The sequence below is a fragment of the Homo sapiens genome, chromosome 19 (assembly GCF_000001405.40).
Source record: "Homo sapiens chromosome 19, GRCh38.p14 Primary Assembly".
NCBI lineage: Eukaryota > Metazoa > Chordata > Mammalia > Primates > Hominidae > Homo > Homo sapiens.
Window position 1 is genome coordinate 16,328,838 of NC_000019.10, and position 27,372 is coordinate 16,356,209.

Here is a 27,372-nt window from a genome sequence, read left to right on the forward strand (position 1 = left end):
AAGGACTCGCGGGTGGTTTAAAACAATATTAAGGGTCTCCAGGTTTCCCTGTTCAGCTTAAACTTAGTGATCAAGCTATTTTTCTTGCTTATTTGAAAATGTCTTCCAGGTTTCTCCTGGAAGCTTCTGAGTCCAGTGAAAGGCAAATCGTTCACGGGGCTGAAGCTGTTTCTGTTTCTTGCGTGTATGTTCTGTTGGAGAACAGACAGAATAGAAAGTGTGATAGTTGTACGTTTCAGTAAGAGACACCAACTCAGGCAGCGCTAGGTCATACCGACTAATCCAGAAATATCCCATCATCATTTTTTTCTGCCCCTTTCTGACACTCAAATGCCAATTTCCATGATCTTCTGCATCTGTGATGCTCAGTGGAGAGTGACCCAGTCTGGGAACATTTTTGGTTGTCAACTCGGGGGTGCTGCTGGCATCTGGTGGACAGAGGTGGGTGATGTTGCTAAGCATTCTGCAGTGTACAGACAGCCCCCACCACAGAGAATAGCCCAGCTCTGAATGTCAGCAGTGCTGAGGTTGAGACATCGCCTCTGGTTCCTAAAAGATCATTGCTCTTATCAGCAAGAAGGTGACTCTGTGCCACGAAGCAAGCTTTGGTGGCAAATGCCACCCAGAAAAAGGTACAAAGAAAACCTCACCCTGGGGCCATCTTCACCTAGGATTCTACAACCCAATCCCAATGCAAGTTTTTCTTTCTTTCTTTCTTTCTTTCTTTCTTTCTTTCTTTTTTTTTGGAGACAGTCTCGCTCTGTTGCCCAGGCTAGAGTACAGTGGCACAATCTCAGCTCACTGCAACTTCTGCCTCCTGGGTTCAAGTAATTCTCCTACCTCAGCACCTCCTAGTAGCTGGTATTACAGGCGCGCGCCACCAAGCCCAACTAATTTTTGGATTTTTAGTAAAGATGGGGTTTCGCCATGTTGGCCAGGCTGGTCTCGAACTCCTGACCTCAGGTGATCCACCCACCTCAGCCTCCCAAAGTGCTGGGATTACAGGAGTGAGCCACCGCACCCAAACTCTCTCTCTCTCTCTCTCTTTTTAGAGCAGGAGATTTGTGGTCACTGGCTGAATTACTTTTCATGGCTGTGATTTTCGCTATATTCTTTCTTTTCCCCAGGCAAAGTTATAATCATTTGTCGATGCTGTTTTTTCCCCCAGTTATACATTTGTATTGTCATTTTCATGGCTGCATAATATTCCTTTTAGATATGGCAGGAGTTATTTATGGAAACAAGCACTGTGGGTAAAAGGGTTGAAAAGGGTGAAGGTTTTATTTTGTTTGGTTTGAGATAGGGTCTCATCTGTCACCCAGGCTGGAGTGCAGTGGCACAATCACTACAATCTTGACCTCCTGGGTTCAAGCAATCCTCCTGCCTCAGCCTCCCGAGTAGCTGGGATTACAGGCATGCATCACCATGCCCAGCTAATTTTTACATTTTTTTGTACAGAGGGGATCTCACTATATTGCCCCTCCTGGGCTCAAGCAATCCTCCCGCCTCAGCCTCTCAAAATGCTGGGATTAAAGATGCAGACCACCAAGCCCAGCTATGGCAGGGGGTGGGGGAGAGGTGACAGTTTTGAGGGGCTTATTGGCATGGTGCTGGGGAGAGATGTAGGAGCTATTTTTCTGCTAGGCACTTCCTGTAGTTCTGGGGGCCCCAGCACCCAGGCAGGCTGCAGAATGATGTGGTGTGAAGTGGGAGGAGGAAGGGGGCGTTGTCAGAGGGCAAGATGTCTATAGGCTCACCCCTGACTCAGCACCCAGCCCTGTCAACACGGTTGAGTCAGCACCCACGCCCGGCAGCCCCAGGTGGAGTCCCAGGACCATAGGCTCAAGCTGATTTGTCAGGTGCCAGGGCTGGGTGGCTCCGATTGCCCCGGCCTGAGCTGTGTCAGCTGTGCCAGACCAGCGAGCATCAGCCTTGGAGCTGGGCACAGCGGTGGCTCATGCCTGTAATCCCAGCACTTTGGGAGGCCGAGGTGTGGGGATCTCTTGAGCCAAGGAGTTTGAGACCAGCCTGGGCAACATAGAGAGACCCTGTTTCTGGGTGGGTGGGGGGCGGGGGAAGAGAGAGAGAAGAGAGAAAAAACAAAAGACATTTGGAGCTGAATCATTCTCCAGTGCGGGGCCACCCTGTGCACTGCAGTGTTCAACAGCATCTCTGGCCTTCACCGACTCAATGCCAATTAACACCCGTCCCCTGGCCAGACCCGGGGGCTCACACCTGTAATTCCAGCACTTTGGGAGGGCAAGGCGGGTGGATCACTTGAGCTCAGGAGTTCGAGGCCAGCCTGGCCAATATGGTGAAACCCTGTCTCTACTTAAAAAAAAAAAAAATTAGCTGGGTGTGGTGGCAGGCGCCTATAATCTCTGTCATCTCAGCTACTTGGGAGGCTGAGTCAGGAGAATCACTGGAACCTGGGAGGCGGAGGTTGCACTGAGCTGAGATGGCGCCTGGGTGACATAGGGAGAGTCCATCTCAAAAAAAAAAAGAAAGAAACCCTCAGATCAGCCGTGCGACTTTGCCTGCCTGTGCCTCAGTTTCCTTGGGTGGAAAATGAGTTTGCTGCTGTGAAAATGAAATGAGACACTAAAGCTCAGAGCCCACCCCTGGGGTGTGGCCAGCACAGTGAGTGTCCTCTGATAAAGCTGGTGTGCCTGAATTTTAAGGCCCCTTCCTCCCTCTCTCTCCCTCTCCCCACAACCCTCTTCGCTCATTCATTCATTCATTCACCTGTTCATTCAGCAGATGCTCTGTATGGCAAGCAGATATGACTCAGAATCTCAGGAGTGACTCTGGCCGGGCGCAATGGTTCACACCTGTAATCCCAGCACTTTGGGAGGCCGAGGCAGGTGGATCACCTGAGGTCAGGAGTTCGAGACCAGCCTGGCCAACATGGTGAGACCCCGTCTCTACTAAAAACACAAAAATTAGCTGGGTATGGTGGCAGGCGCCTATAATCCCAGCTACTCGGGAAGCTGAGGGACGAGAATTGCTTGAACCCGGGAGGCAGAGGTTTCAGTGAGCTGAGATCACACCACTGCACTCCAGCCTGAGAGACAGAGCGAGACTCTGTCTCAAAAAAAAAAAAAAAAAAAGTGACGTAGCCTCTGGGCCTTGCCCAGAGTCAGTGCCAAAATGTTTGTCGCATGACCTAACTTTGTGCTAACGGTGGACCCTGTGACTCGAGCTTGGGTGCTTTCATTCTGGGCACCTTCAACAAATTATCTCTTTCAACCTCCCCACAAGCCTGAGGGTTGCCTAAGCACCCCCATTTTCTAGAGGTGGAAAGTGGGGTTCAGAGAGGGGAAGGTTAGCTGGGGGACCTGGTGCAGGTGGCAGAGCTGAGGCTTCAACCCAGGTCTGCCTGGCCTGGCCACCGCAACTCCTCCTGTGCCTAGAAACATCTGAATGCACCAATGCATCAGGTTTGCCCTGTTTCCCTCCACACACAGGTTCTAGGGGTTCCTGGAAGCCCTGCTGAGTTCCTTCTAGGCTTTTGTCTAAAAGGAACTGAGAAGCCCATTTGCCAGGAATATCCCAGACAGGGAGGGACAAGGGGTCGGGAAGAGGCTGGGTGAATAGGGTTCCCTGAGGTGCCCTATAAGAAGTTAGGAGGAGGCCGGGCACAGTGGCTCACGCCTGTAATCCCAGCACTTTGGGAGGTCAAGGCAGGTGGATCATTTGAGGTCAGGAGTTCGAGACCAGCCTGGCCAACATGGTGAAACCTCGTCTCTACTAAAAATACAAAAATTAGCTTGGAGTAGTGGTGGGCACCTGTGATCCCAGCTACTTGGGAGGCTGAGGCAGGAGAATTGCATGAACCCGGGAGGCGGAGGTTGCAGTGAGCCGAGATCACACCATTGCACACTAGCCTGGGCGACAGAGGAAGACTCCATCTCAAAAAAAAAATAATAATAAGTTAAGACGAGCCTGGGGGCCAGACACCATGGCTCACGCATGTAATCCCAGCACTTTGGGAGGCCAAGGCAGGTGGATTACTGGAGGTCAGAAGTTCAAGATCAGCCTGGCCAACATGGTGAAACCCCATCTCTACTAAAAAAAAAAAAAAAATACAGAAATTAGCCGGGCGTGGTGGTGCACACCTGTAATCCCAGGTACTCGGGAGGCTAAGGCAGGAGAATCACCTGAACCCAGGAGGCAGAGGTTACAGTGAGCCGAGATTGCACCACTGCACTCCGGCCTGGGCAACAGAGCAAGACTCTGTTTCAAAAAAAAAAAAAAAATGCTAAACATGGAATTGCCATAGGTCCCAGTGATTCCATTCCTAGGTATAGTCCCAAGAGAAATAAAAACCGGGACACAAACAGATACTTGCACACACGTGTTCGAGGCAGCACCATTTACATGCGCCAGACGGTGGAAACAGCCCAAATACCCATCAACTCATGAATCAATAAAAGTGTGGTATATCCATATGACCCAGTGGTTTTTGTGTTTGTTTTTTGGGATAAGGTCTCGCTCTGTTGCCCAGGCTGGAGTGCAGTGGTGCGATCACAGCTAACTGCAGCCTCGAACCCCTGGGTTCAAGCAATCCTCCTGCATCAGCCTCTCGGGCTGGTTCTTACTGGGGGCTCCCCTGAGTGCAGAGAACAGGCCCAAGCTGATGCCAGTTAGGGAAGTCATCTCTATAGTTCTAGAAGGGATACTGAGCCCAGGAGGCTGGAGACAGGGGCCTCACCAACCCTCTGCTCGTAGCCTGAGCTCTTTCTCCAGCGTGATTTGATCTGCCCCATCACCGTGTTCTTTTCTCTCTCATCCCATATTTTCTTTCTTTCATTCTTTCTCTTTATTGTGATTAAATATACATAACATAAAATTGACTGTTTTTGTTTTGTTTTGTTTGAGACAGGGTCTCACTCTGTTGCCCAGGCTGGAGTGCAGTGGTGCGATCACAGCTCACTGCAGCCTCGACCTCCTCAGGCTCACGTGATCCTCCCGCCTCAGCCTCCAGAGCAGCTGGGACTATAGGAGTGTGCTACTACGCCTGGCTAATTTTTCTATTTTTTGTAGAGCCTGAGTCTCACTGTGTTACCCAGGCTGGTCGCAAACTCCTGGGCTCAAATGAACCATCCACCTTGGCCTCCCAAAATGCTGGGATTACAAGAGTGAGACATTGTGCCTGGCTAAAATTCACTTTTTTTTTTTTTGTGACAGAGTCTTGCTCTGTCACCCAGGCTGGAGTGCAGTGGCACGATCTCGGTTCACTGCAACCTCCCACCTCAAGTGATTCTCCTGCCTCAGCCTCCCGAGTAGCTGGGATTACAGGCGCACGCCAGCACAGCCGGCTAATTTTTATATTTTCAGTAGAGACGGGGTTTCACCATGTTGGCCAATGGTCTCAAACTCCTGACCTCAGGTGATCCGCCCCCCTTGGCCTCCCAAAGTGCTAGGAATACAGGCGTGAGCCACCACACCCAGCACAAAATTGGTTATTTTTAAGTGTTCAGTTCAGCAGCATTCACAGCATTGTGCCACCTTCACCACCACCCATCTCCAGAGCTTTTCCCTTCTTCCCAAACTGAAACTTTGATCCCATTAAACACTCACTTCCCATTCTCCCTCCCCAGCCACTGGCCCCCACCCTTCTTCCTTCTGTCTCTACAAATTTGAGCACTCTGAGGACCTCCTAGGAGTGGAATCATACAGTATCTGTCCTTTCCTGTAGTTTATTTCACTCAGCATAATGTCTTCAAGATTCATCCACGTGGTAGTGTGTGTCAGAATTTCCTTCCTTTTTATGACTCAGTAATATTCCATTGTGTGGAAGGACCACATTTTGTATGTCCATTCATTCCTTGATGAACACTTGGTCATTTCCACCCCTTGGCTGCTATGAACATGAGTGTGCAAATACCCATTCCAGCCCCTGCTATCAGTTTTTTGGGGCTGTGTCCCTAACAGTGGAATGGCTGGATACCCTTTTTTACTTTTTACTGTTAGTATTTTTTGAGACAGAGTCTCACTCTCTCGCCCAGCCTGCAGTGCAGTGGTGCAGTCTCAGCTCACTGCACCCTCTGCCTCCCGGGTTCAAGTGATTCTCCTGCCTCAGCCTCCCAAGTAACTGGGATTACAGGCGTGCACCACCTCACCCAGCTAATTTTTGTATTTTTAGTAGAGACGACGTTTCACCATGTTGGCCAGGCTGGTCTCGAACTCCTGACCTCAAGCGATCCTCCTGCCTCGGCCTCCCAAAGTGCTGAGATTACAGGCGTCAGCCAACGCGCCTGGCCTGGGTATCCTTTTTTAAACTTTATTCGTGGCTGCTGATAACGCTCAAAAGAGTTTTTCTTTCCTTAGCAGCTCGCCTAAGAGCCATTGACCCAGGCTGAGCATCGTCTGCGAGCCTCCCTGAGAGCTCAGATTCACACCAGCCGGCATCTGTCGCCTCAGCCTGCAACATTCTGGGCCTCGATTTCCTCTTCTTTGAAATGGGGGTAACAGCGCAGAGCAGTGGGAGCACGGCCGGTGCCCTGGCCTTGGGGGCCGCCCGGAAATCGGGGTTTTGCAGCAGCTTGGGTTGTGCAGAGAGGCAGAGGCTGTCAGGGAGATGGACGGGCCTGAGGTGGAGGTGCCGCTCACACCCGGCACACCCGCCGCCTGCTCAGCCCACAGCCTGCTCTGCGCAGCCAGCTCTGCGCAGCCAGCTCCCCTCCCCACCTAGGCCCCGGCCATCTCAAGACAGCCTCCTCCGGAGGGGACACAGACTCCTGCACACCAGACCCAGAGACTCTTAGGCCGGCGACTAAACTGAAAAGCCCTCACTCTGCAGGGTGGGGAAACTGAGGCCCGGGTATCCAAATCCTCCGGCAGACAGACGCCAACCGACCTACATGGGTCTTGGGGTCTTCCTGAGCCACAAACGCAAATCCCACAGGAGGAGCTGGTCCCTCAGGTGGGGTTCCTACCAGGGACATGGCTTGCCAGGATTTGACCCCGTTTTAACCTAGAACAGCCAGGTGTGCTGGCTCATACCTGTAATCCCAGCACTTTGGGAGGCTGAGGTGGGAGGACCACTTGAGGCTGGGAGTTTGAGACCAGCCTGGGGAACATAGCAAGACCCCATCTCTTAAAAAAAGAGCGTGGTAGCAGGCATGGTAGCATGCATCTATAGTCCCAACTACTCAGGAGGCTGAGGTGGGAAGATCACTTGGGCCCAGGAGTTTGAGGCTGCAGTGAGCTATGATTGTGCCACTGCACTCTGATATGGGTGATAGAGCAAGACCCTGCCTCTAATAAATAAATAATTATTTTTATAATTTATTATAAAATTATAAATGTTATAAAAATTAATTTAATTTAATTAAATAAAAAAAGCAAGGTAGCTCATGCCTGTAATTCTAGCACTTTGGGAGACCAAGGTGAGCAGATCACTTGAGGCCAGGAGTTCGAGACCAGCCTGGCCAACATGGTGAAACCCTGTCTCTACTAAAAATACAAAAAAAAAAAATTAAGCCGGGCGCGGTGGTGTGCAGGTATAGTCCCAGCTACTCGGGTGGCTGAGGTATGAGAATCACTTGAACCCAGGAGATGGAGGTTGCAATGAGCCACGATCACGCCACTGCACTCCAGCCTGGGTGACAGAGTGAGTCCCTGTCTCAAAATAAGTAAATAAATAATATCATCTAGAACGATGTAAACAGAACATTGCATTGACATTTTGTCAATTGCCACAAAATTGACATTTTGTCAATGGTTTGTCATTGCAAGCCATTTTGTTTTTTCTCTCCCCGCCATCCCCCCTCCTTTTTCTTTAAACATGGGGAGTTTATAAATCCATGAGACCTAACAAGCAGCTATAGGACACTCCACACAACAGCAGGACACACTTTCTTCTTGAGGGTGCAAGGAACATTCCCTGGGAGAGGCCAAAGAATAAATCCAGTGCATTGAAAAGGATCGCAATTCTATAAAGTATGTCCTCTGACCACAATGGAATGAAGTGAGAAATAAGAAACAGAGAGGAATTTGGCAAACTTAAGAAATATGTAGAAATTCAAGAACGCACTTGTAAAGACAAGGAGGACCTACTCTAAGATTCATCAGAAAATCCCAGCATTTGAGACCAGCCTGCGCCACATGGTGAGACCCCATCCACAGAAAAAATACAAAAAATCGCCGGGCCTGGTGGCGTGCACCTGTAATCCTAGATACTCGGGAGGCTGAGGTGGGAGGATCACTTGAAACAGGGAGGTAGAGGCTGCAGTGAGCCGCGATCGCATCACTGCACTCCAGCCTGGGCAACAGAGTGAGGCCCTGTCTCAAAAAAAACGAAAAGAAAAGAAAAAAAGAAAAAGGCCATGTGTAGTGGCTTACACCTGTAATCCCAGCACTTTGGGAGGCTGAGGCAGGTGAATCACCTGAGGTCTGGAGTTCGAGACCAGCCTGGCCAACATGGTGAAACCCCATCTCTACTAAAAATACAAAAAAAAAAAAGACAACACACACACACACACACACACACACACACACACACACACACACAAAACAAACTAGCTGGGCATGGTGGCAGGCACCTATAATCCCAGCTACTCAGGAGGCTGAGGTAGGAGAATCGCTTGAACCCGGGAGGCGGAGGTTGCAGTGAGCTGAGATCGCATCATTGCACTCCAGCCTGGGCAAAAAAGCAACACTCCACCTCAAAAAAAAAAAAGACAAAAAAACATTCTAGCAGTGGGAAGGTCCTTTAGGGGCCTAAGCTCCTGAGTGGGGACCAGTCCGGCTTTGTGCAGGGACTCAGTGCACCTGGGGCTCTCTCTGCAGATATGAGATGTGCATGGGCTCTTCTGGATGTTGCCCTAGTGAGTTCTGAGGGCTCCTGTGGGCTCGTAGCTTCTAGAGTGGATGATTCCCCCAAGATCACTGTGGGGAACACCAAGAGTGGCTGCTCCCCACAGCTTCAAGGCTGCCAGTGGGGACTCCACTGGAGGTCCGCTTCTGGGGGGCTGCCACGTGTCCCCAGCTTTAGTCAGGACCCCTCCCACAACAGCATCCCCTGCTCCCATCCACATCTCCAGGTCCTCCAACTCCTGTGACCCTTCCCCAATCCCACATCTTTGCACAGGCTGTTCCTCATGGCAAAAAGCCCTTCCTGTGTGTCCGTGGGGCAGATGCCAGTCCGCCCCCCAAGGCCTGGCTCCGGCATCACCTCCACTGGGAAGCCTGCCCTGATTCCCATAGAAGCACCCCAGCCTGCCCCGTGCCAGCTTGGACCTCACAGGGTGGGAGCGCCAGATCTGTGGCTGGCTCCTCCTTCCCACTAGACTGGGCAGCAGCAGAGAGGGGTGCTGAATGACTCGGGGGACCTGGTTGACAAGGGGTCAGGACCGTGAAGGGGACAGTGGTTTTACTCCCCTGTCATAGTCACAGAGAGCAACACACAAAATCCAAGGATTCCTGGGATGACAGAATTTCTGACCTCAAGGCCAAGATGATGCTGGGTAGAGTGTGCAGCGTGTAGTGTAGACGGGGACTTGGATCCGCTGGCCCTGGCTGCCTGGAGATGCTGGGTAGAGCACGTAGTATGCAGCGTAGACAGCATTCAGAGTCCCTCAGCCCTGGCTGCCCCTACCTCTGCCCCTTGCCCCTGGCCATGGCCCTGGGCGCACGCCTGGCCCTCTCTGAGCCACAGCTCCCTCCCACCAGGGCTGGTGAGAAAAGTAAACCGAGAGTGCTGTTTCCTGCCACCCTGCTGGGTGCTCAGCCTCCCTCCACCCGCATCCTCTCGAGTGGGTAGAATCCCAACTGGGGGCCCTCTGGCAGGGTCCGGGAGCTGGCACACGAGCAGGCACTCTGGCTCGGCCATGCATCCGTCCATGGGCCACTCGCCGAGACACGTGGCTCTAAATGGACACAGTCATTCAGGAAATAGCGCCTCGCCCACCGAATGCCAGGCGCCACTCAGCAGGCTGCTGTAACTCCGCAGGCTGCCTCCTGAATTGCCCTCCACTTTCAACCTTGACCCCAGGTTGGCCTTTCTGGGGACTGTCCCAAGATCGAGAGACACACTTCACAGCCAAGCCCTCGTCTGCAGCCTCGGAGCTATGAGATGTTCCAGCTCCAGGGAAAAAACTCAGGAATCAGAAGTCTGGCCAGCCCCATCCCACTCCTCTTGGCTTTAATGTAACTCAGAGGCACCGATCCTGGCTCTTGGGGCAGAATTCTCCACATTCCTGGTGTGTTTCCGTTGAACCCCAAACCGCAAACACATCCTGACATCTCATTTCCTCAATGTGCCCTGGTGGTGACTCGGGCCACCTTGCCGGGAGCTCGTTTTGAGTCATACAGAGATTTGTCGAAGGAAGGGTTTCTCATCTCAGAAGTTGGAGGCCGTTCCCACCAACCTCCCTCCCTGCATCTGTACAAGAATTGCTGGCGGGGCTGCTATTCCCTGATGCTTGGATCTGAGCTCTCAGTGACTCGGGAGGCACTGGCCAGGGGCCCTGGACAAATCTAAGCTCAGTTCCTTATGTCACCACTGTCAACCTCAGGCACGGGAAGGCGGCTCTCAGTCTCTTTCCTCCTCTGTAGAGCTGGGCTCTTAGCAGCTATCTTGGCCGGGCTCTATCTCAAATGGATGGAATCTGGGCTATGCCTGACACATAGTAGGTGCTCAGTGAAGGAATGGTGCCCATTAGTGAGAGAGGGAGACAGGGCTGGGCATGGTGATGTGCACCCGTGGTCCCAGCTACTTAGGAGGCTGAGGCAGAAGGATCCCTAGAGGCCAGGAGGTCGAGACAGCAATGAGCTATGATTGCACCGTTGCACTCCAGCCTGGGCAACAGAGCAAGACCCTGTCCTTAAAATAATAATAGTAATAATAATTTATTGAACTCCTGACCTCAGGTGATCCACCCGCCTCGGCCTTCCAAAGTGCTGAGATTACAAGCATGAGCCACTGTGCCTGGCTGAATAATAATCACTAAAAAATTAATCTAAACATAATTTCTAGGCTGGGTGCGGTGGCTCATGCCTGTAATCCCAGCACTTTGGGAGGCCAAGGCGGGCAGATCACCTGAGGTCAGGATTTTGAAACCAGCCTGGCCAACATGGCGAAACCCTGTCTCTAATTTAAAAAAAAAAGAAAAAAAAAATTAGCCCGGTGTGGTGGTGCATGCCTGTAGTCCCAGCTGCTGGGGAGGCTGAGAATTGTTTGAACCCAGGAGGTGGACGTTGCAGTGAGTTAAGATCATGCCACTACACTTCAGCCTAGGCAACAGAGAGAGACCCTGTCTCTAAATAAATAAATGAGAGAGAGAGAGAAAAAAAATCCAAGGAAACAAGCCCATTCATTCTACTTAATTCCGCTGGTCTCTGGGAGGCAGGTTGGGGGTGGAGAAATTCCATGTTTTTACAGAATCCTGACGTCACCAGCAACTGCCCCACCAGGAGCTAACTTCAGCACGGGCGGAGGGAGGGTGTCTGCCCACGACCTGACCTTGAACTGGGCCTTTCTTAAATGTAAATGTGCATCTCCTTTGGTGCTTTTTTAAGTGGGAGAGGTCCCTGAAAGGTTGTTGCCTGGAGGAAAAGTTTTGGCAATTAACTTTTATTATTGTTTGCTTGCTTAAAGAAACTGGGGGCCCAGAGCAGTGAGTGGCTTATGCCTGTAATCCCAGCACTCTGGGAAGCCGAGGCGGGCAGATCACTTGAGCCCAGGACTTCCAGACCAGCCTGGCCAACAAAAATTAGCCAGGCATGGTGGAGTGCACCTGTAATCCCAGCTACTCGGGAGGCTGAGGCAGGGGGATCACTTGAACCCGGGAGGCAGAGGCTGCAGTGAGCTAATATTGCTCCACTGCACTCCAACCTGCTGGGCGACAGAGTGAGACTGTCTCAAAAAACAATTGGGATGTTCATCAAAGCACTATTCATAACAGCCAAAAAGTAGAAACAACCCAAGTGTCCATTAGAGAATGAATAAGAAAACTGTGATCCATACATACAATGGAATATTATTCAGCCATGAAAAGGAATGAAGCACTGATCCATGCTACAATGTGGATGAGCCCCCAAAACATTCTGAGTGAGAGAAGCCAGACGCGAAAGCCCACATAGTGTGAGATTCCACTGATACAAAATGCCCAGAACAGGCAAATCCAGAGAGACAGGAAGCAGATGAGTGGCTGCCAGGGGCTGGGGGAGGGGAATGGGGAGTGGCTGCTGATGGGGACAGGGTCTCCTCTTGGGGGATGCAAATGTTCTGGAATTAGACAGAGGTGATGGTTGCACAACATTGTGAATGCACGAAATGCCACTACCGTGTACACTTCATGGTTAGTTTTATGTTATGTGAATTTCAGCTCAATTTTAAGGTGTAAAAAAAGCAATTGAGAATAAGTTGCTTCTGTTGTAAAACGTTACTTTTTTTTTCAGACGGAGTCTTGCTCTGTCGCCCACGCTGGAGTGCAGTGGTGCAATCTCGGCTAACTGCAACCTCCGCCTCCCAGGTTCAGGTGATTCTCCTGCCTCGGCCTCCCCAGCAGCTGGAATTACCGGCGCCCGCCACCACTCCCAGCTAATTTTTGTATTTTTAGTAGAGACGGGTTTCACTGTGTTGGCCAGAAGGGTCTCAAATGCCTGACCTCAAGTGATCCACCCACCTTGGCCTCTTAAAATGCTGGGATTACAGGCATGAGCCACCATGCGCAGCCACATTACTATTTTTAATACAGTTATTTTGTCAATATAACATAAAGTTTGGACCGAGTATCCACTGATGAATGAATGGATAAACAAAATGTGGTCTATCCATCTATCCAGACAATGGAATAGTATTCAGTTTTTAAAAAGAAAGAGATTATAGGGCCGGGCGCGGTGGCTCACGCTTGTAATCCCAACACTTTGGGAGGCCGAGGCGGGCGGATCATGAGGTCAGGAGTTCGAAACTAGCCTGGCCAACATGGTGAAACCCAGTCTATACTAAAAATACAAAAATTAGCTGGGCGTGGCGGTGCGTGCCTGTAATCCCAGCTACTCGGGAGGCTGAGGCAGGAGAATTGTTTGAACCCAGGAGGCGGAGGTTGCAGTGAGCCGAGATCACGCCATTACACTCCAGCCTGGGCAGCAGTGCAAGACTACAATTCAAAAAAAAAAGAAAAGAAAAGAAAAGAAAAAGAGAAAGATTCTGACACATACATGCTCCAACAGGAACTATCCTAAGTGAAATACGCCAGACACAAAAAGAGAAATACTGTATGAGTCCATGCATCAGATTCATAGAGACAGGAAGTAGAATGGTGGGTGCGAGGGGCTGGGGGAGGAGGAAATGGGGAATGAGTATTTAGTGGGGGCAGAGTTTCAGTTTTACAAGCTGACAAGAGCTCTGCTGCGTAACATGAATGGACTGGGGTGAGCCGTGAGGGCTGGAGGGCCCTCAGACAAGAGAAAGGATGACAGTTCCAAGGCTTCAAACAGATGCTCTGAGAGAACCAGTCCTCAGAAAGGCTGAGAATCCCTGGAATTTTTCCTGGGCTGGAAGGGATCTGCTCTATGGCTTAAAGGTCTTGGCCAAGGGCCTGAAGAACCACCCATCTTCCAGGGCCCAGGCACTCCGACTCCTCAAATTTAAATACAGGCGCTTTCTACGCATGAGTGCCAAACCATTTCCAGTAAGTCTCATTGTCAGCTATAAAAATAACCACTGTTGAAGCAGAGACAAGCTCGTGATGCAGCCAGGCAGTGCCACAGAGAGGCAATGGCATCTGTCCCTGTCAAATGGAAAGTCCCCTGGCCAAGCCTCTGAATTCAAGTGAACATCTTGGTCTTGGATGTGACCATCTGAATGGTGGTCGAGAAAGTGCTTGGTCCATAGAAGGCACCCAGGACACTCGAGCCCCCTTCTCTCCCATGACCTTCGTACAATGGCACGGAATGGAGACGCAGGGCTGGGACTTCCCCTCCACCACACCGGTTTCCTTTACAATGAGATTCCATTCCTATAATGAGGAATAATGTAGTAGCTTAGTTAATACAGACAGAACTGCCCCTCAGTCGGTTCTTGGGTAGTGGAGCTAGAATATACAGGCCCTGCTCTAAAAGCTCAAAGCAATCCCTGGACAGTAACCATAGCTTTAATAATACTCATCTGGGCCGGGTGCGGTGGCTGAAGCCTGGAATCCCAGCACTTTGGGAGGCCGAAGCGGGCAAATCACAAGGTCAGGAGTTCGAGACCAGCCTGGCCAACATAGTGAAAGCCCATCTCTACTAAAAATACAAAAAAATTAGCTGGGCTTAGTGGCGGGCACCTGTAATCCCAGCTGCTCGGGAGGCTGAGGCAGGAGAATTGCTTGAACCCGGGAGGCGGAGGTTACATGAGCTGAGATCGTGCCACTGCACTACAGCCCAGGTGACACAGTGAGACTCCATCTAAAATAATAAGAATAATACCCATCTGAATGAATAATAACAAAAACCAGTACCACTGGCTAGGAGGCGGAAGTGGGGTTATGGGGAATTGCTCAATGGGTACAGAGTGTCAATTTCACAAAATGAGAAAGTTCTAGAGATCTGTTGCAGAATGGTGTGAATATATTTAACACTGCTGAACCACGCACTTGAAAGTGGTTTTTTTAAAAAAAAAGTGGTTAAAGTGGAGCTGGATGCAGTGGCATGCACCTGTAGGCCCAGTTACTCCAGAGGCCGAGGCGGGAGGATTGCTTGAGCCTAGGAGTTTGAATCCAGCCCGGGCAACATAGTGACAACCTGTCTCTAAAAAAATAAAAAAAGAATAAAAATTTCTATAAATTAAAAATAAATTTAGGCCAGGAATGGTGGCTCACACCTGTAACCCCAACACTTTGGGAGGATCCCTTGAGCTCAGGAGTTTGTGACCAGCCTGCACAAAGTAGTGAGACTCTATCTCTAGAAAACATACAAAAATTAGCCAGGCGTGGTGCTGCATGCCTATAGCCCCGGCTATTCAGAAGGCTGAAATGGGAGGATCACTTGAGCCCGGGGTGCGAAGGCTGCAGTGAGCCGAGATCGCACCACTGCACTCCAGCCTGGGCAACAGAGTGAGACCCTGTCTCAATAAATAAACACATACATAAAATAAAATAAATGAATAATTTTTTTTTTCCTGAGACAGAGTTTTGCTTTTTCAGCCAGCTGGAGTGCAGTGGTGCGATCTCGGCTCACTGCAAGCTCCGCCTCCTGGGTTCACACCATTCTCCTCAGCCTCCCAAGTAGCTGGGACTACAGGTGCCCGCCACCACACCCGGCTAATTTTTTGTATTTTTAGTAGAGATGGGGTTTCACCGTGTTAGCCAGGATGGTCTTGATCTCCTGACCTCATGATCCACCTGCCTCGGCCTCCCAAAGTGCTGGGATTACAGGTGTGAGCCACCACACCCGGCTGAATAAATTTTTAAATGGTTAAAATGGTAAGTTTCATGTTTTTTATCATAATTAATATTTTTTTTTTTTGAGACAGAGTCTTGCTCTGTCACCCAGGCTGGAGTGCAGTGGCACAATCTTTGCTCACTGCAACCTGCACCTCCCAGGTTCAAGCGATTTTCGTTCCTCAGCTCCCAAGCAGTTGGGATTACAGGTGTGTGCCACCACACCCCACTAATTCTTGTATTTTTAGTAGAGACGGGGTTTCTCCAGATTGGCCAGGCTGGTCTCAAACTTCTGGCCTCAAGTGATTCTCCTGCCTAGGCCACCCAAAGTGCTAGGATTACAGGTGTGAGCCACTGAGCTTGGCCATAATTAAAAATTTTTAATTAAAAAAAAAAAAATCCAGCCGGGCGCGGTGGCTCACGCCTGTAATACCAGCACTTTGGGAGGCCAAGGCGGGTGGATCATGAGGTCAGGAGATCGAGACCATCCTGGCTAACATGGTGAAACCCCGTCTCTACTAAAAATACAAAAAATTAGCCAGGCATGGTGGCGGGCACCTGTAGTCCCAGCTACTCAGGAGGCTGAGGCAGGAGAATGGCGTGAACCTGGGAGGCGGAGGGAGCTTGCAGTAAGCCGAGATCACGCCACTGCACTCCAGCCTGGGCAACAGAGTGAGACTCCATCTCAAACAAAACAAAACAAAACAAAAAAACCACTACTACTGTTTCTACTACTTTACTTGAACATCTAGAATATGCCCTGAGGGATAGCTGTTATACCTCCATTTTTTTTTTTCTAGACGGAGTCTCAGTCTGTCTTGACCAGGCTGGAGTGCAGTGGTGTGATCTCAGCTCACTGTAGCCTCCGCCTCCCAGGTTCAGCAATTCTCCCACCTCAGCCTCCTGAGTAATTGGGATTACAGTCACCCGCCACCACATCCAGCTAATTTTTGTATTTTTAGTAGAGACAGGGTTTCACCATGTTGGCCAGCCTGGTCTTGAACTCCTGACCTCAGGTGATCCACCTGCCTCGGCCTCCCACGGTACTGGGATTACAGGCATGAGCCACTGTGCCCGGCCAATGACCTCTATTTTATAGATGAAGAAAAATGGGGACTCCAAGTAGTGATTTGAGCAACCCAAGGTCACACTCTCCAGGGGTGAAGCTGTCTTCACACCAACTCTGACTTAAGGCTGTGCCTTTTCCAAGATGTTTGTTGCCCCTCCATGGCTTCAACATCTTCTCTGGTCTACCTCAGGGGAAGAGAAGCCACAGGTATCTTGCTCCAGGATCTAGAACCGGAAAATAAACCAGGGTTCTGGTCCACCATATTGTTCTCTTAGAACTAGGATCCTCATTTCCTTTAAAAAGTGTGTTTACAGTTGAACAATTGCTACATCTTGTCTTGAGTCTTTTTTTGGCTCTCGTAGTGGAAATTCTGCCCTTTGTCCTTAGTACAAAGAAATAATGTTCATCACAGACCAGGATCTCAAAGTCCTTGTTTCTGGCCTCAGAAAGCGTTCTCTCTCCCAAGTGAAGGTTAATATAGGAATAACAATGGAAAGTCACAGAATTGCTCGTTTATTAAACTAGTGTTTCTTGCAATGGTGTTTTAAAAGTTTATAAGAGATATATTATTGATATATAACATATTGATATAATTACACATTGTTGATATATTTTTGAGACATTATATTAGGGGAGTTTTTTGTTGTTTTTAGAGTTGGGGTCTTGCTCTGTCGCCCAGGCTGGAGAGCAGTGGTGCCATCGTAGCTCACCTCAGCCTCGAACTCCTGGCCTCAAGTGATCCTTCTGCCTCAGCCTCCCAAAGTGCTGGGATTACAGGCATGAACCATTGTGCCCGGCCTGTACATTAGTGTTATTTGAACTAGGATTTCCCCCTTAACTATGAAATTAAGGTTATCAAGAGTGAGCAAAATATTTTAAATAAAGATGAGGCTCATAAGATAATGTTTATTCAATTTTTCTTTTTTTATTATCTGAGATCCTAAAATATGTGTCTTTTTGGAGACTTGAATAATCATCTTAAGGGCTTTTAGAGCTAGAAAGGTCTTCACTGGGCCGGGCGCAGCGGCTCACACCTGTAATCCCAGCACTTTGGGAGGCCAAGGCAGGCAGATCACTTGAGACCAGCCTGAGACCAGCCTGAGAGCAGTTTGAGACCAGCCTGGCCAACATGGTGAAACCCCGTCTCTACCAAAAATACAAAAATTAGCCGGGCATGGTGGTGGGTGCTTGTAATCCCAGCTACTCAGGAGGCTGAGGCAGGAGAATCACTTGAACCCGGGAGGCAGAGGTTGCAGTGAGCCAAGACTGTGCCACTGGGTGACAGAGTGACACTCTGTCTCAAAAAAAAAAAAAGGAAAAAAGAAAGGTCTTCACTGGTTGTCTGGTCCAACCTCCTTGGCCAAATAAGAAAACTGAGGTGCACTGAGGTTAGGTCCAAGGTCATGAATAGAGAGCACCCCTGCACGTCAGTCAGAAAGGAAATCAGGCTGGGCACAGAGGCCACGCCTGTAATCCCAGCACTTTGGGAGGCTGAGTCAGGAGGATTGCTTGAGGTCAGGAGTTCCAGACCAGCATGGGCAACATAGAGAGACCTCATCTCTATGAATAATTTTTTTTTTTTTGAGGCAGTCTCACCCTGTTGCCCAGGCTGGAGTGCAGTGGTGCGATATCGGCTCACTGCAACCTTTGCCTCCTGATTCAAGCGATTCTCCTGCCTCAGCCTCCCAAGTAGCTGGGACTACAGGCACCCGCCACCATGCCCAGCTCATTTTTTTGTATTTTCAGTAGAGACCGGGTTTCACCGTGTTGGTCAGGCTGGTCTTGAACTCCTGACCTCACATGATTCACCCGCCTCGGCTTCCCAAAATGCTGGGATTACAGGTGTAAGCCACCATGCCTGGCCAATTTTTAAAAAGTAGCTGGGCATGGTGGCACATGCCTGTGGTTCCAGTTACTCAGGAGGCTGAGGTAGGAGGATGGCCTGAGCCCAGGAGGTCGAGGCTGCAGTGAGCTATGATCACACCACTGCACTCCAGCCTGGGCAACAGAGCAAGATCCTATCCCCAAAACAAAACAAAACCAGGAAGCAAATCAAGGAGTGATATTTAAAGACCCACTCGGCTGGGCGCAGTGGCTCTTGCCTGCAATCCCAGCACTTTGTGAGGCTGAGGTGGGCAGATCACCTGAGGTCAGGTGTTCGAGACCAGCCTGGCCAACATGGTGAAACCCCATCTTCACTAAAAATAAACAAAATTAGCCCGGCGTGGTGGTGGGTGCCTATAATTTCAGCTACTCGGGGAGCTGAGGCAGAATTGCTTGAACCTGGGAGGTGGAGGTTGCAGGGAGCTGAGATCACACCATTGCACCCCAGCCTAGGCACCAAGAGCATAACTGTCTCAAAATAATAATAATAATAATAATAATAATGATAATAATAATAATATAATAAAAATAAAGACCACTCAACGTAAACACGACTCTACCCAGGCAAGCCCACATCACGTCATCTCTTTGGAATAAGCTTGCGATAACCATCATATTTCCATTTCCTTTTATATTTTTCCAAAAACAGCTCATGATACAATTTGTACAGGTCCTAGTAACTTTGGGGAAAATTTTGGAAAAAAAAAAGTAGCATGTTTCAAAGGAACTTGATCTGATAAGAGGCAGAAATATTGACTCCATTATTTCAAGAGGCAGTTTCTTTGTTTCCCAGACGCTTCCTGACAGTTTTAAAAATAGCCTTCCACAACTGTTCCAGGATGAGAATGTCCTTTTACATAAAATGGGCTTTGAAGATGTGATTTCATTTACTCAGAGGAGGCTGTAGATCATTCGTCATCCTTTTCCAAAACATGGCTTGGACCGGGCAATGTGGGCCCTTGAATTCCAGTTGAACACCAGTCCAAACTGGGTTGTTGGATGCGGAGAAGATAAAGGGTACCCACAAAGAGGACACGGCTCGTTACAATCTGGGAGACAAAACGCAATGGGGTTGCAGTCAAAAGTTGCCTCTTGCGACCAGGTGTGGTGGCTCACGCCTGTAATCCCAGCACTTCGGGAGGCTGAGGCAGGTGGATCACCTGAGGTCAGGAGTTCGAGACCAGCCTGGGCAATATGGCAAAACTCCATCTCTACCAAAAAATACAGAAATTACCCGGGCATGGTGGTATGTGCCTGTAGTTCCAGCTCAAGAGGCTAAGGCAGGAGAATCGCTTGTACCCAGGATGTGAAGGCTGCAGTGAGCTGAGATCATGCCACTGCACTCCAGGCTGGCTGACAGAGCGAGACTCTGCCTCTAAAAGAAAAAAAAAAAAAGTTGCCTCTTTCGGATGGGTGTGTCGGCTCACCCCTGTCATCCCAGCACTTTGGGAGGCTGAGGCTGGAGGATTGCTTTAGGCCAGGAGTTTGAGACCAGCCTGGGCAACATAGCGAGACCCCATCTCTACAAAAAAAAAATTTAATTACCTGGGCATGGTGGTGCACACCTGTAGTCCCAGCTACTTGGGAGGCTGAGGTGGGAGGATCACTTGAGCCCAGGAGGTTGAGGATGCAGTGAACTATGATCGCAACCACCGCACTTCAGCCTGGGTGACAGAGTAAGGCCCTTTCTCTAAAAATAAAGAAACAAAAATAAAATGAAAGTTGCCTCTTGTCTGCTGTATTGGAGGTTTCTGTATCTGCTGATTCAACCAACCCTAGATCGAAACTACTTGAAAAGGGGCCGGGGGCGGTGGCTCACGCTTGTAATCCCAGCACTTTGGGAGGCCAAGGCGGGTGGATCACCTGAGGTTGGGAGTTCGAGACCAGCCTGGCCAACACAGTGAAACCCCGTCTCTACTAAAAGTATAAAAATTAGCCAGGCATGGTGGCGGGTGCCTGTAATCCCAGCTACTTGGGAGGCCAAGGCAGGAGAATCACTTGAACCCAGGAGGCAGAGGTTACAGTGAGCGGAGATTGCGCCACTGCACTCCAGCCTGGGTGACAAGAGAGAGACTCTGTCTCAAAAAAAAAAAAAAGAGGCAGGGCGCGGTGGCTCACGCCTCTAATCCCAGCACTTTGGGAGGCCAAGGCAGGCAGATCACGAGGTCAGGAGATCGAGACCATCTTGGCCAACATGGTGAAACCCCATCTCTACTAAAATACAAAAAATTAGCCGGGCATGGTGGCAGGTGCCTGTAATCCCAGCTATTTGGGAGGCTGAGGCAGGGGAATCGCTTGAACCCAGGAGGTGGAGGTTGCAGTGAGCTGAGATCGCGCCACTGCACTCCAGCCTGGAGACAGAGCAAGGCTCCATCTCAAAAAAAAAAAAAAAAAAAAAGAGAGAGAGAGAGAGAAAGAAACCATTTGAAAAAAAACAATCAAAAGTTGCCTCTTATGTGAAAGATCTGATGGCTAGGAGGGGTCATTGTTCATTTTCTCAGACGTGACCTTGGCATCGAGTATACGTTAGCATGTCAGTCGCCACACGTCTCAGTGACGTGCGCTTCAGGGCACGTGGGCGAAATGGCATCCTGACTCCAACTTGCTCTAAAGTGCTTCTCCAGAGCAAAGGAAGACAGCCATGCGGCAAAGGTGGAAAATCTGGATGACAGTTGACGCTGGGTGGGGGTGTTTACTGTCCTTTTCTCTTCAACTATTATGTTTGGAAATTTTCATCATACATTTGTTCCAATTGGATACTCTATTCTTCAGGAAAGGGCGTGAGTGTCCTTTGCCGTGGAAGAGACTGCCAATGGGAGAGGGGATGGATTTGTGGATTTGATGTTGATTATTTACACAGCAGGGGAGTGTGTGTGTGTGTGTGTGTGTGTGTAGCAGGGAAGGAAGGAAACAGGATTTGAGACTGGCTTCTAACTTTTTAAAGGGTCTGAGGACCTCTTTAAAAATCAGATGGAGGCTGGGCACAGTGGCTCACACCTGTCATCAGCAGCACTTTGGGAGGCCGAAGCGGGAGGGTCACTTGGGGCCAGGAGTTGGAGATCAGCCTGGCCAACATAGTGAGACCCTGTTTCTATAAAAATAAAAATAAAATAAAAATTAAAAAAAATTAGCCAGGGCCGGGCACGGTGGCTCATGCCTGTAATCCCAGCACTTTGGGAGGCTGAGGTGGGCAGATCAAGAGGTCAGTAGATCGAGACCATCCTGGCTAACACGGTGAAACCCCGTCTCTACTAAAAATACAAAAAAATTTGCTGGGCGTGGTGGCGGGCGCCTGTAGTCCCAGCTACTCAGGAGGCTGAGGCAGGAGAATGGCGTGAACCCGGGAGGCGGAGCTTGCAGTGAGCCGAGATCGTGCCACTGCCCTCCAGACTGGGTGACAGAGCGAGACTCCGTCTCAAAAAAAAAAAAAAAAAAAAAAAAAAAAAAAATTAGCCGGATGTGGTCAGCTACTCAGGAGGCTGAGGCAGGAGGATCACTTGAGCCCAGGAGTTCAAGGCTGCAGTGGGCTATGATTGCGCCATGCACTCCAGCCTGGGTGAGAGAGCGAGACCCCCATCTCTTAAAAAAGGGGAAAAAAAAAGATAAAAAGTTATGAACACTGCAAACCCACATACAATAAAAAACAAACCAGGGCTGGGTGCGGTGGCTCATGCCTGTAATCCCAGCACTTTGGGAGTCTGAAGCAGGCGAATCACGAGGTCAAGAGATCGAGACCATCCTAGCCAACATGGTGAAACCTCATCTCTAATAAAAATACAAAAATTAGCCAGGCATGGCGGCGTGTGCCTGTAGTCCCAGCTACTTGGGAGGCTGAGGCAGGAGAATCACTTGAACCCAGGAGGTAGAGGTTGCAGTGAGCTGAGATCACGCCACTGCACTCCAGCCTGGTGACAAAGCAAGACTCCGATTCAAAAAAAAAAAAAAAAAAAAAAGAACAAAAACAAAAAACCAGCAAATGTGCATTCAGGGGTTCACTGCTTTCCCTAAAAACGTCCCCTCCCCTGGGTAAGAGCTCCTAATTCAATACATGGTTTTCCATTTCTAAGATATCAAGAGCCATCACCTGCCTCTTCTGGGTACGGTGAATATGCAAATAAGCAGAAGACAACAAGAAACTAGAAACCCTGAAGTTTTCTAAGAAACCCTCAATTCTTTTCTCAAATCAGCAAAACGAGCCTCCGCCCCTGGCTGGCTTCGGAGCTCTGGGCAAATGACTGCAGGGAATGAGTCTCAGTTTTCCCTCAGGAAAATGGGCTAACATCCACCCTCTTCATTTACAAGGTTGCTTTGAGTTTCCAACAAGATAATGGAAGCTGAATCGCTGTGAAAATTGTGAAGTCCCAAACCAAATGGTGCCAAAGCTGTGACTACCCTGGAGAGAGGTGACTCAGCGCCTTCTCCAAAGGGATCTATCACGGCAGAAGCACATGGCTTGGGACCTTCAGATTCACTCTGGGGTTTTCCTGCAGGAGGAAGGAAGTATTGGGAATTGCCTCCGGCCATGACCACTTTCAGGAAGCTGCTCGTTTTTGCAGAGAAGATTAGGGGCATCTCAGAGGTTACAAAGCCCACGAGGCCCCACCAGGCCCCAATCCACAAAGCAGGCCCATTCCATGGGCACCAAGAAGACGTCCCCTCCCAACACCCTCATCTCCAGGACTGCAGGGACCCCTCGAGGGTCTGTAACCTGGAAAAGGGGGATTACCAAAGGTTTGGAATCTTTACATTCGCCCAAATCCACCATAAACTTCAGTTTATGGTTTATAGATGACCCTTGAACAACACAGGTTTGAACTGGGTGGGTTCAGTCATATGTGGATTTTCTTTGTTTTGAGCCCGAGTCTCACTCTTGTTGCCCAGGCTGGAGTGCAGTGGTGCGATCTCAGCCCACTGCAACCTCCGCCTCCCGGGTTCAAGTGACTCTCCTGCCTCAGCCTCCCTAATAGCTAGGATTACAGGCATCTGCCACGACACCCAGCTAATTTTTGTATTTTTAGTAGAGACGGGGTTTTACCATGTTGGCCAGGCTGGTCTCGAACTCCTGACCTCAGGTGATCCACTCGCCTCAGCCTCCTGAAGTGCTGGAATTACAGGCATGAGCCACTGTGCCCTGCCTGTATGTGGATTTTCTTCCACCTCTGCCACCCCAAGACCAACCCTTCCTCCTCCTCCTCCTCGGGTTACTCAATGGGAAGATGATGAGGAAGAAGACCTTTATGATGATCCACTTCCACTTAATGGATGGCCAATATTTTTTCTCTTCCTTTTCCTGAGGATTTTCTTTTTTTGTTTTTGGAGATGGAGTCTCGCTCTGTTGCCCAGGCTAGACTGCAGTGGCACGATCTTGGCTCACTGCAACCTCTGCCTCCCAGGTTCAAGCGATCCTCCTTGTCTCAGCCTCCTGAGTAGCTGGGATTACAGGTGCCTGTCACCACGCCTGGCTAATTTTTTGTATTTTTAGTAGAGATGGGGTTTCACCACATTGGCCAGGCTGGTCTCGAATTCCTGGCCTCAAGTTATCCTCCCACCTCGGCCTCCCAAAGTGCTGGGATTACAGGCATGAGCCACTGCTCCTGGCCTTTTTTTTTTTTTTTTTTTTTTTTTTGAGACAGAGTCTTGCTCTGTCACCAGGTTGGAGTGCAGTGGCACGATCTCGGCTCATTGCAACTTCTGCCTCCCGGGTTCAAGCCACTCTCCTGCCTCAGCCTCCCGAGTAGCTGGGATTACAGGTGCCCACTACCATGCCCAGCTAATTTTTGTATTTTTAGTAGAGACGGGGTTTCACTGTGTTGGCCAGGATGGTCTCAATCTCCTGACCTCTTGATCCACCTGCCTTGGCCTCCCAAAGTGCTGGGATTACAGGCGTTAGCCACCACGCCCGGCCCTGTATTTTCAATCTCATGAATTACTGCCCTGAGACGAGTCTATGTAACAAAATATCTGAGGCTGAAAAACTGCTTTTTAAAAATAAATCTACCTGAGGCCAGGAGTTTGAGACTAGCCTGGCCAACATGGCAAAACCCCATCTCTACTAAAAATACAAAAAATTAGCCAGGCATGTTGCCTAATGCCTGTAATTCCAGCTACTTGGGAGGCTGAGACAGGAGAATTGCTTGAACTTGGGAGGTGGAGGCTGCAGCGAGCTGAGATCACACCATTGTACTCCAGCTTGGGTGACAAGAGTGAAACTCTGTCCCAAAATAAAATAAAATAATAAATAAAAATAAATCTATGTCCAGTGGATCCAGGTCAACACCAGCCTTCTAAGTCATGTTGATGACATGGATCTTTGATGTGATTTGATGTCAATACACTTCATCTCTGTGGTCTTCCTCCCCCAAGTCCAGCTCCACATCTAGTCACGGGAAAAACATCAGACAAATCCCAGTGGAGGGACATTCTACAAAGCACCTGACCAGTTCTCCTTGTAACTGTCATCAAAAACACACAACGTTTGAGAAACTCACACAGCCCAGAGAATTCTTTTTTTTTTCCTTGAGACAAGAGTCTCACTCTGTCGCCCAGGCTGGAGTGCAGCGGTGTGATCTCGGCTCACTGCAACCTCTGCCCCCCGGGTTCCAGCGATTCTCCTGCCTCAGCCTCCTGAGTAGCTGGGATTACAAGCGCCTGCCACTGCGCCCGGCTAATTTTTCTATTTTTAGTAGAGACGGGGTTCCACCCAGCCCAGAGAATTCTAACGAGATGTAAGGTCTGAATGTCATGGGGGATCCTGGGACAGAAAAAGGACATTAGGGGGAAAAACGAATTTTTTTTTTTTGACAGGGTCTTACTCTGTGGCCCAGACTGGAGTGCAGAGGTGCGATCTTGGCCCACCACAACCTCCACCTCCCAGGTTCAAGCGATTCTCCTGCGTCAGTCTCCCGAGTAGCTGGGATTACAGGCATGCTCCACTACCACCCGGCTATTTTTTGTGTATTTTTAGTAGAGACGGGGTTTCACCATGTTGGCCAGGCTGGTCTTGAACTCCTGACCTCAAATGATCCACCTGCCTCGGCCTCCCAAATGGCTGGGATTACAGGTGTGAGCCACCGTGCCCTACCTGCATTTTTTTTTTTAGACGGTGTCTTTCTTGTCGCCTGGGCCAGAGTGCAATGGCATGATATTGGCTCACTGCAACTCCACCTCCTGAGTTTCAAGTGATTCTCCTGCCTCAGCCTCTCGAGTAGCTGGGATTACAAGTGCGCACCACCACGCGCGGCTAATTTTTGTGTTGTTTTTTTTTAGTAGAGACAGGGTTTCACTATGTTGGCCAGGCTGGTCCCCAACTCCTGACCTCAAGTGATCCCCCCCACCTCGGCCTCCCAAAGTGCTGGAATTACAGGCATGAGCCACCGCACTCAGCCAAAAAAACAGAGCAATTCTGAATAAAGTAAGGACTCTAGTTAATAATAATGAATCCGTATTGGTTCATTAATTGGGATGTAAGTAATGTGTAATGTAAGATGTTAAAAATAAGGTAAACTCTCTAAGGGGCTTATGGGAACCCTTCGTATTTTCTTTGCGATCTTTCTGCAAATTTAAAACTGGCCAGGCACAGTGGCACATGTCTGTAATCCCAGCCCTTTGGGAGGCTGAAGTGGGAGGATCACTTGAGCCCGGGGAAGTGGAGGTTGCAGTGAGCTGAGATCACACCACTGCACTCCACCCTGGGTGACAGAGCTCAGACCCTGTTTCAAAAAAAAATTTTTTTTAAGGATAAATTGTCTAAGGGGCTTATGGGAACTCTTTGTATCTTTGTGATTTTTCTGCAGGTTTAAAACTGTCCTAAAAAATAAAGTTGGTTAAAACATAAAAATGGGCAGGGCTTGGTGGCTCACGCCTGTAATCCCAGCACTTTGGGATGCTGAGACAGGAGAATTGTGTGAGTCAAGGAGTTTGAGACCAGCCTGGGCAACATGGCAAGATCTCATCTCTTAAAAAAAAATTTTTTTTAAAAGTAAAAACTTAAGATTTAAAGAGCAATGTTCCACCTGGTTGATCTGCTTCCTGATACCCATGCAGGGAAAACAATGTTTACAGAGATTAAAGAAGCTTCTCTTGTTTTGTATTAAAATATTTTATATTAATCATTCAAACTTCATTTTATACAACGAGTGCATACACCACTGGGGGAGTGTCTGACTGATGCGTGGGAGGGCGGGTGGGGATGTCTGCAGCTATGAGTAGGGAGGAGGCGGGGAAGCCCTGGGTGCTTCCTCTCCTCGACTGACCGCTGTGTGTTCGTCCCCAGAGGAAGAGCGGGAGGCAGTCAGCCCCGGGGGGGATGGCACAGTGGAGAGACGGACCTGCAGAAGTGGTGGCCAAGGCCTCTGTAAGGGCTTCCCCAGGAGATGTGACCTTTCCAGGTCTTGCAGCCGAGTCTGCTCACCCTGAACAAGCCCCCGAGTCCCGGTCCTTGGAGTACGGTGGCGACGGTGTGTGTGTGTATATATAGACATCTGCACTGCCCCCTCTCTGGAACCCGCCCGTGCCCTGTCCCGCCTACACACGGCCCTCGCCTAGGCGGCAGGCATGTCAGCCTTGCTGAGCGCGATGGCCAGTTCCAGGTCCTCCTGCTCCTGCCGCCGCAGCCGCGCCAGCCTCTCCTGTTCCGCCTTCTCGCTCTCCCGCTTGGCCCACGCCAGCTGCTGCTCCTCATTGCCAAACTGCAAAGGAAAAACGGAGAGTGGGTGATGTGGCCCTGGGGCTGGGACCTGCAAGCTGGAGGGAGGCAGGGAATGCGTGGGAGGGGTCAGGGTCCTGCCCACCGCCCAGCGGAGGGTCCGATGTGCAGGGGATAAGCATGTCTTGGCTGGGCCCAGTGGGCGTGCGAGCCTGTCTCAGGCCCCCCATCTGGAAAGCAGAGTGGACGGGATGCATGTGATTGAGTGTGACCTTAACCATGACCTCTGGGCCTCAAAGAAACCAGCCACCCCGCCCCACGCAGAGAAGTGAGGATGGGCCCTTGACGCTGGTGGCCAAGAGGTGCAAAGATGGGGAACTTCCAGCGTGCATGGCTCTAAA

The 27,372-nt window shown here is 49.9% G+C and overlaps 1 protein-coding gene across 8 annotated transcripts in view, besides 4 other annotated features; it reads right to left on the bottom strand.

The window, feature by feature from the left end:
* Nucleotides 111-260: an enhancer, noted in NCBI's record as "active region_14222". NCBI's record gives its function as "activates an Ori minimal core promoter by ATAC-STARR-seq in GM12878 lymphoblastoid cells {active_cell/tissue: GM12878}" and the evidence as "EXISTENCE:reporter gene assay evidence [ECO:0000049][PMID:35858748]".
* Nucleotides 1,704-1,753: a silencer, noted in NCBI's record as "silent region_10298". NCBI's record gives its function as "represses an Ori minimal core promoter by ATAC-STARR-seq in GM12878 lymphoblastoid cells {active_cell/tissue: GM12878}" and the evidence as "EXISTENCE:reporter gene assay evidence [ECO:0000049][PMID:35858748]".
* Nucleotides 2,104-2,213: an enhancer, noted in NCBI's record as "active region_14223". NCBI's record gives its function as "activates an Ori minimal core promoter by ATAC-STARR-seq in GM12878 lymphoblastoid cells {active_cell/tissue: GM12878}" and the evidence as "EXISTENCE:reporter gene assay evidence [ECO:0000049][PMID:35858748]".
* Nucleotides 13,744-13,973: an enhancer, noted in NCBI's record as "active region_14224". NCBI's record gives its function as "activates an Ori minimal core promoter by ATAC-STARR-seq in GM12878 lymphoblastoid cells {active_cell/tissue: GM12878}" and the evidence as "EXISTENCE:reporter gene assay evidence [ECO:0000049][PMID:35858748]".
* Nucleotides 26,410-27,372, bottom strand: part of EPS15L1 (epidermal growth factor receptor pathway substrate 15 like 1) — a 116,766-nt gene continuing 115,803 nt past the window's right edge. For all 8 annotated transcript variants that reach the window (NR_047665.2, XM_017027089.3, NM_001438225.1 and 5 more), the window contains one exon: nt 26,410-27,014. Coding sequence is in view for 7 of the 8 variants with exons in the window: in NM_001438225.1 (NP_001425154.1) it covers nt 26,868-27,014 (147 nt within the window). In the remaining variant the exon portion in view is untranslated. The remainder of the gene's footprint in view (nt 27,015-27,372) is intronic.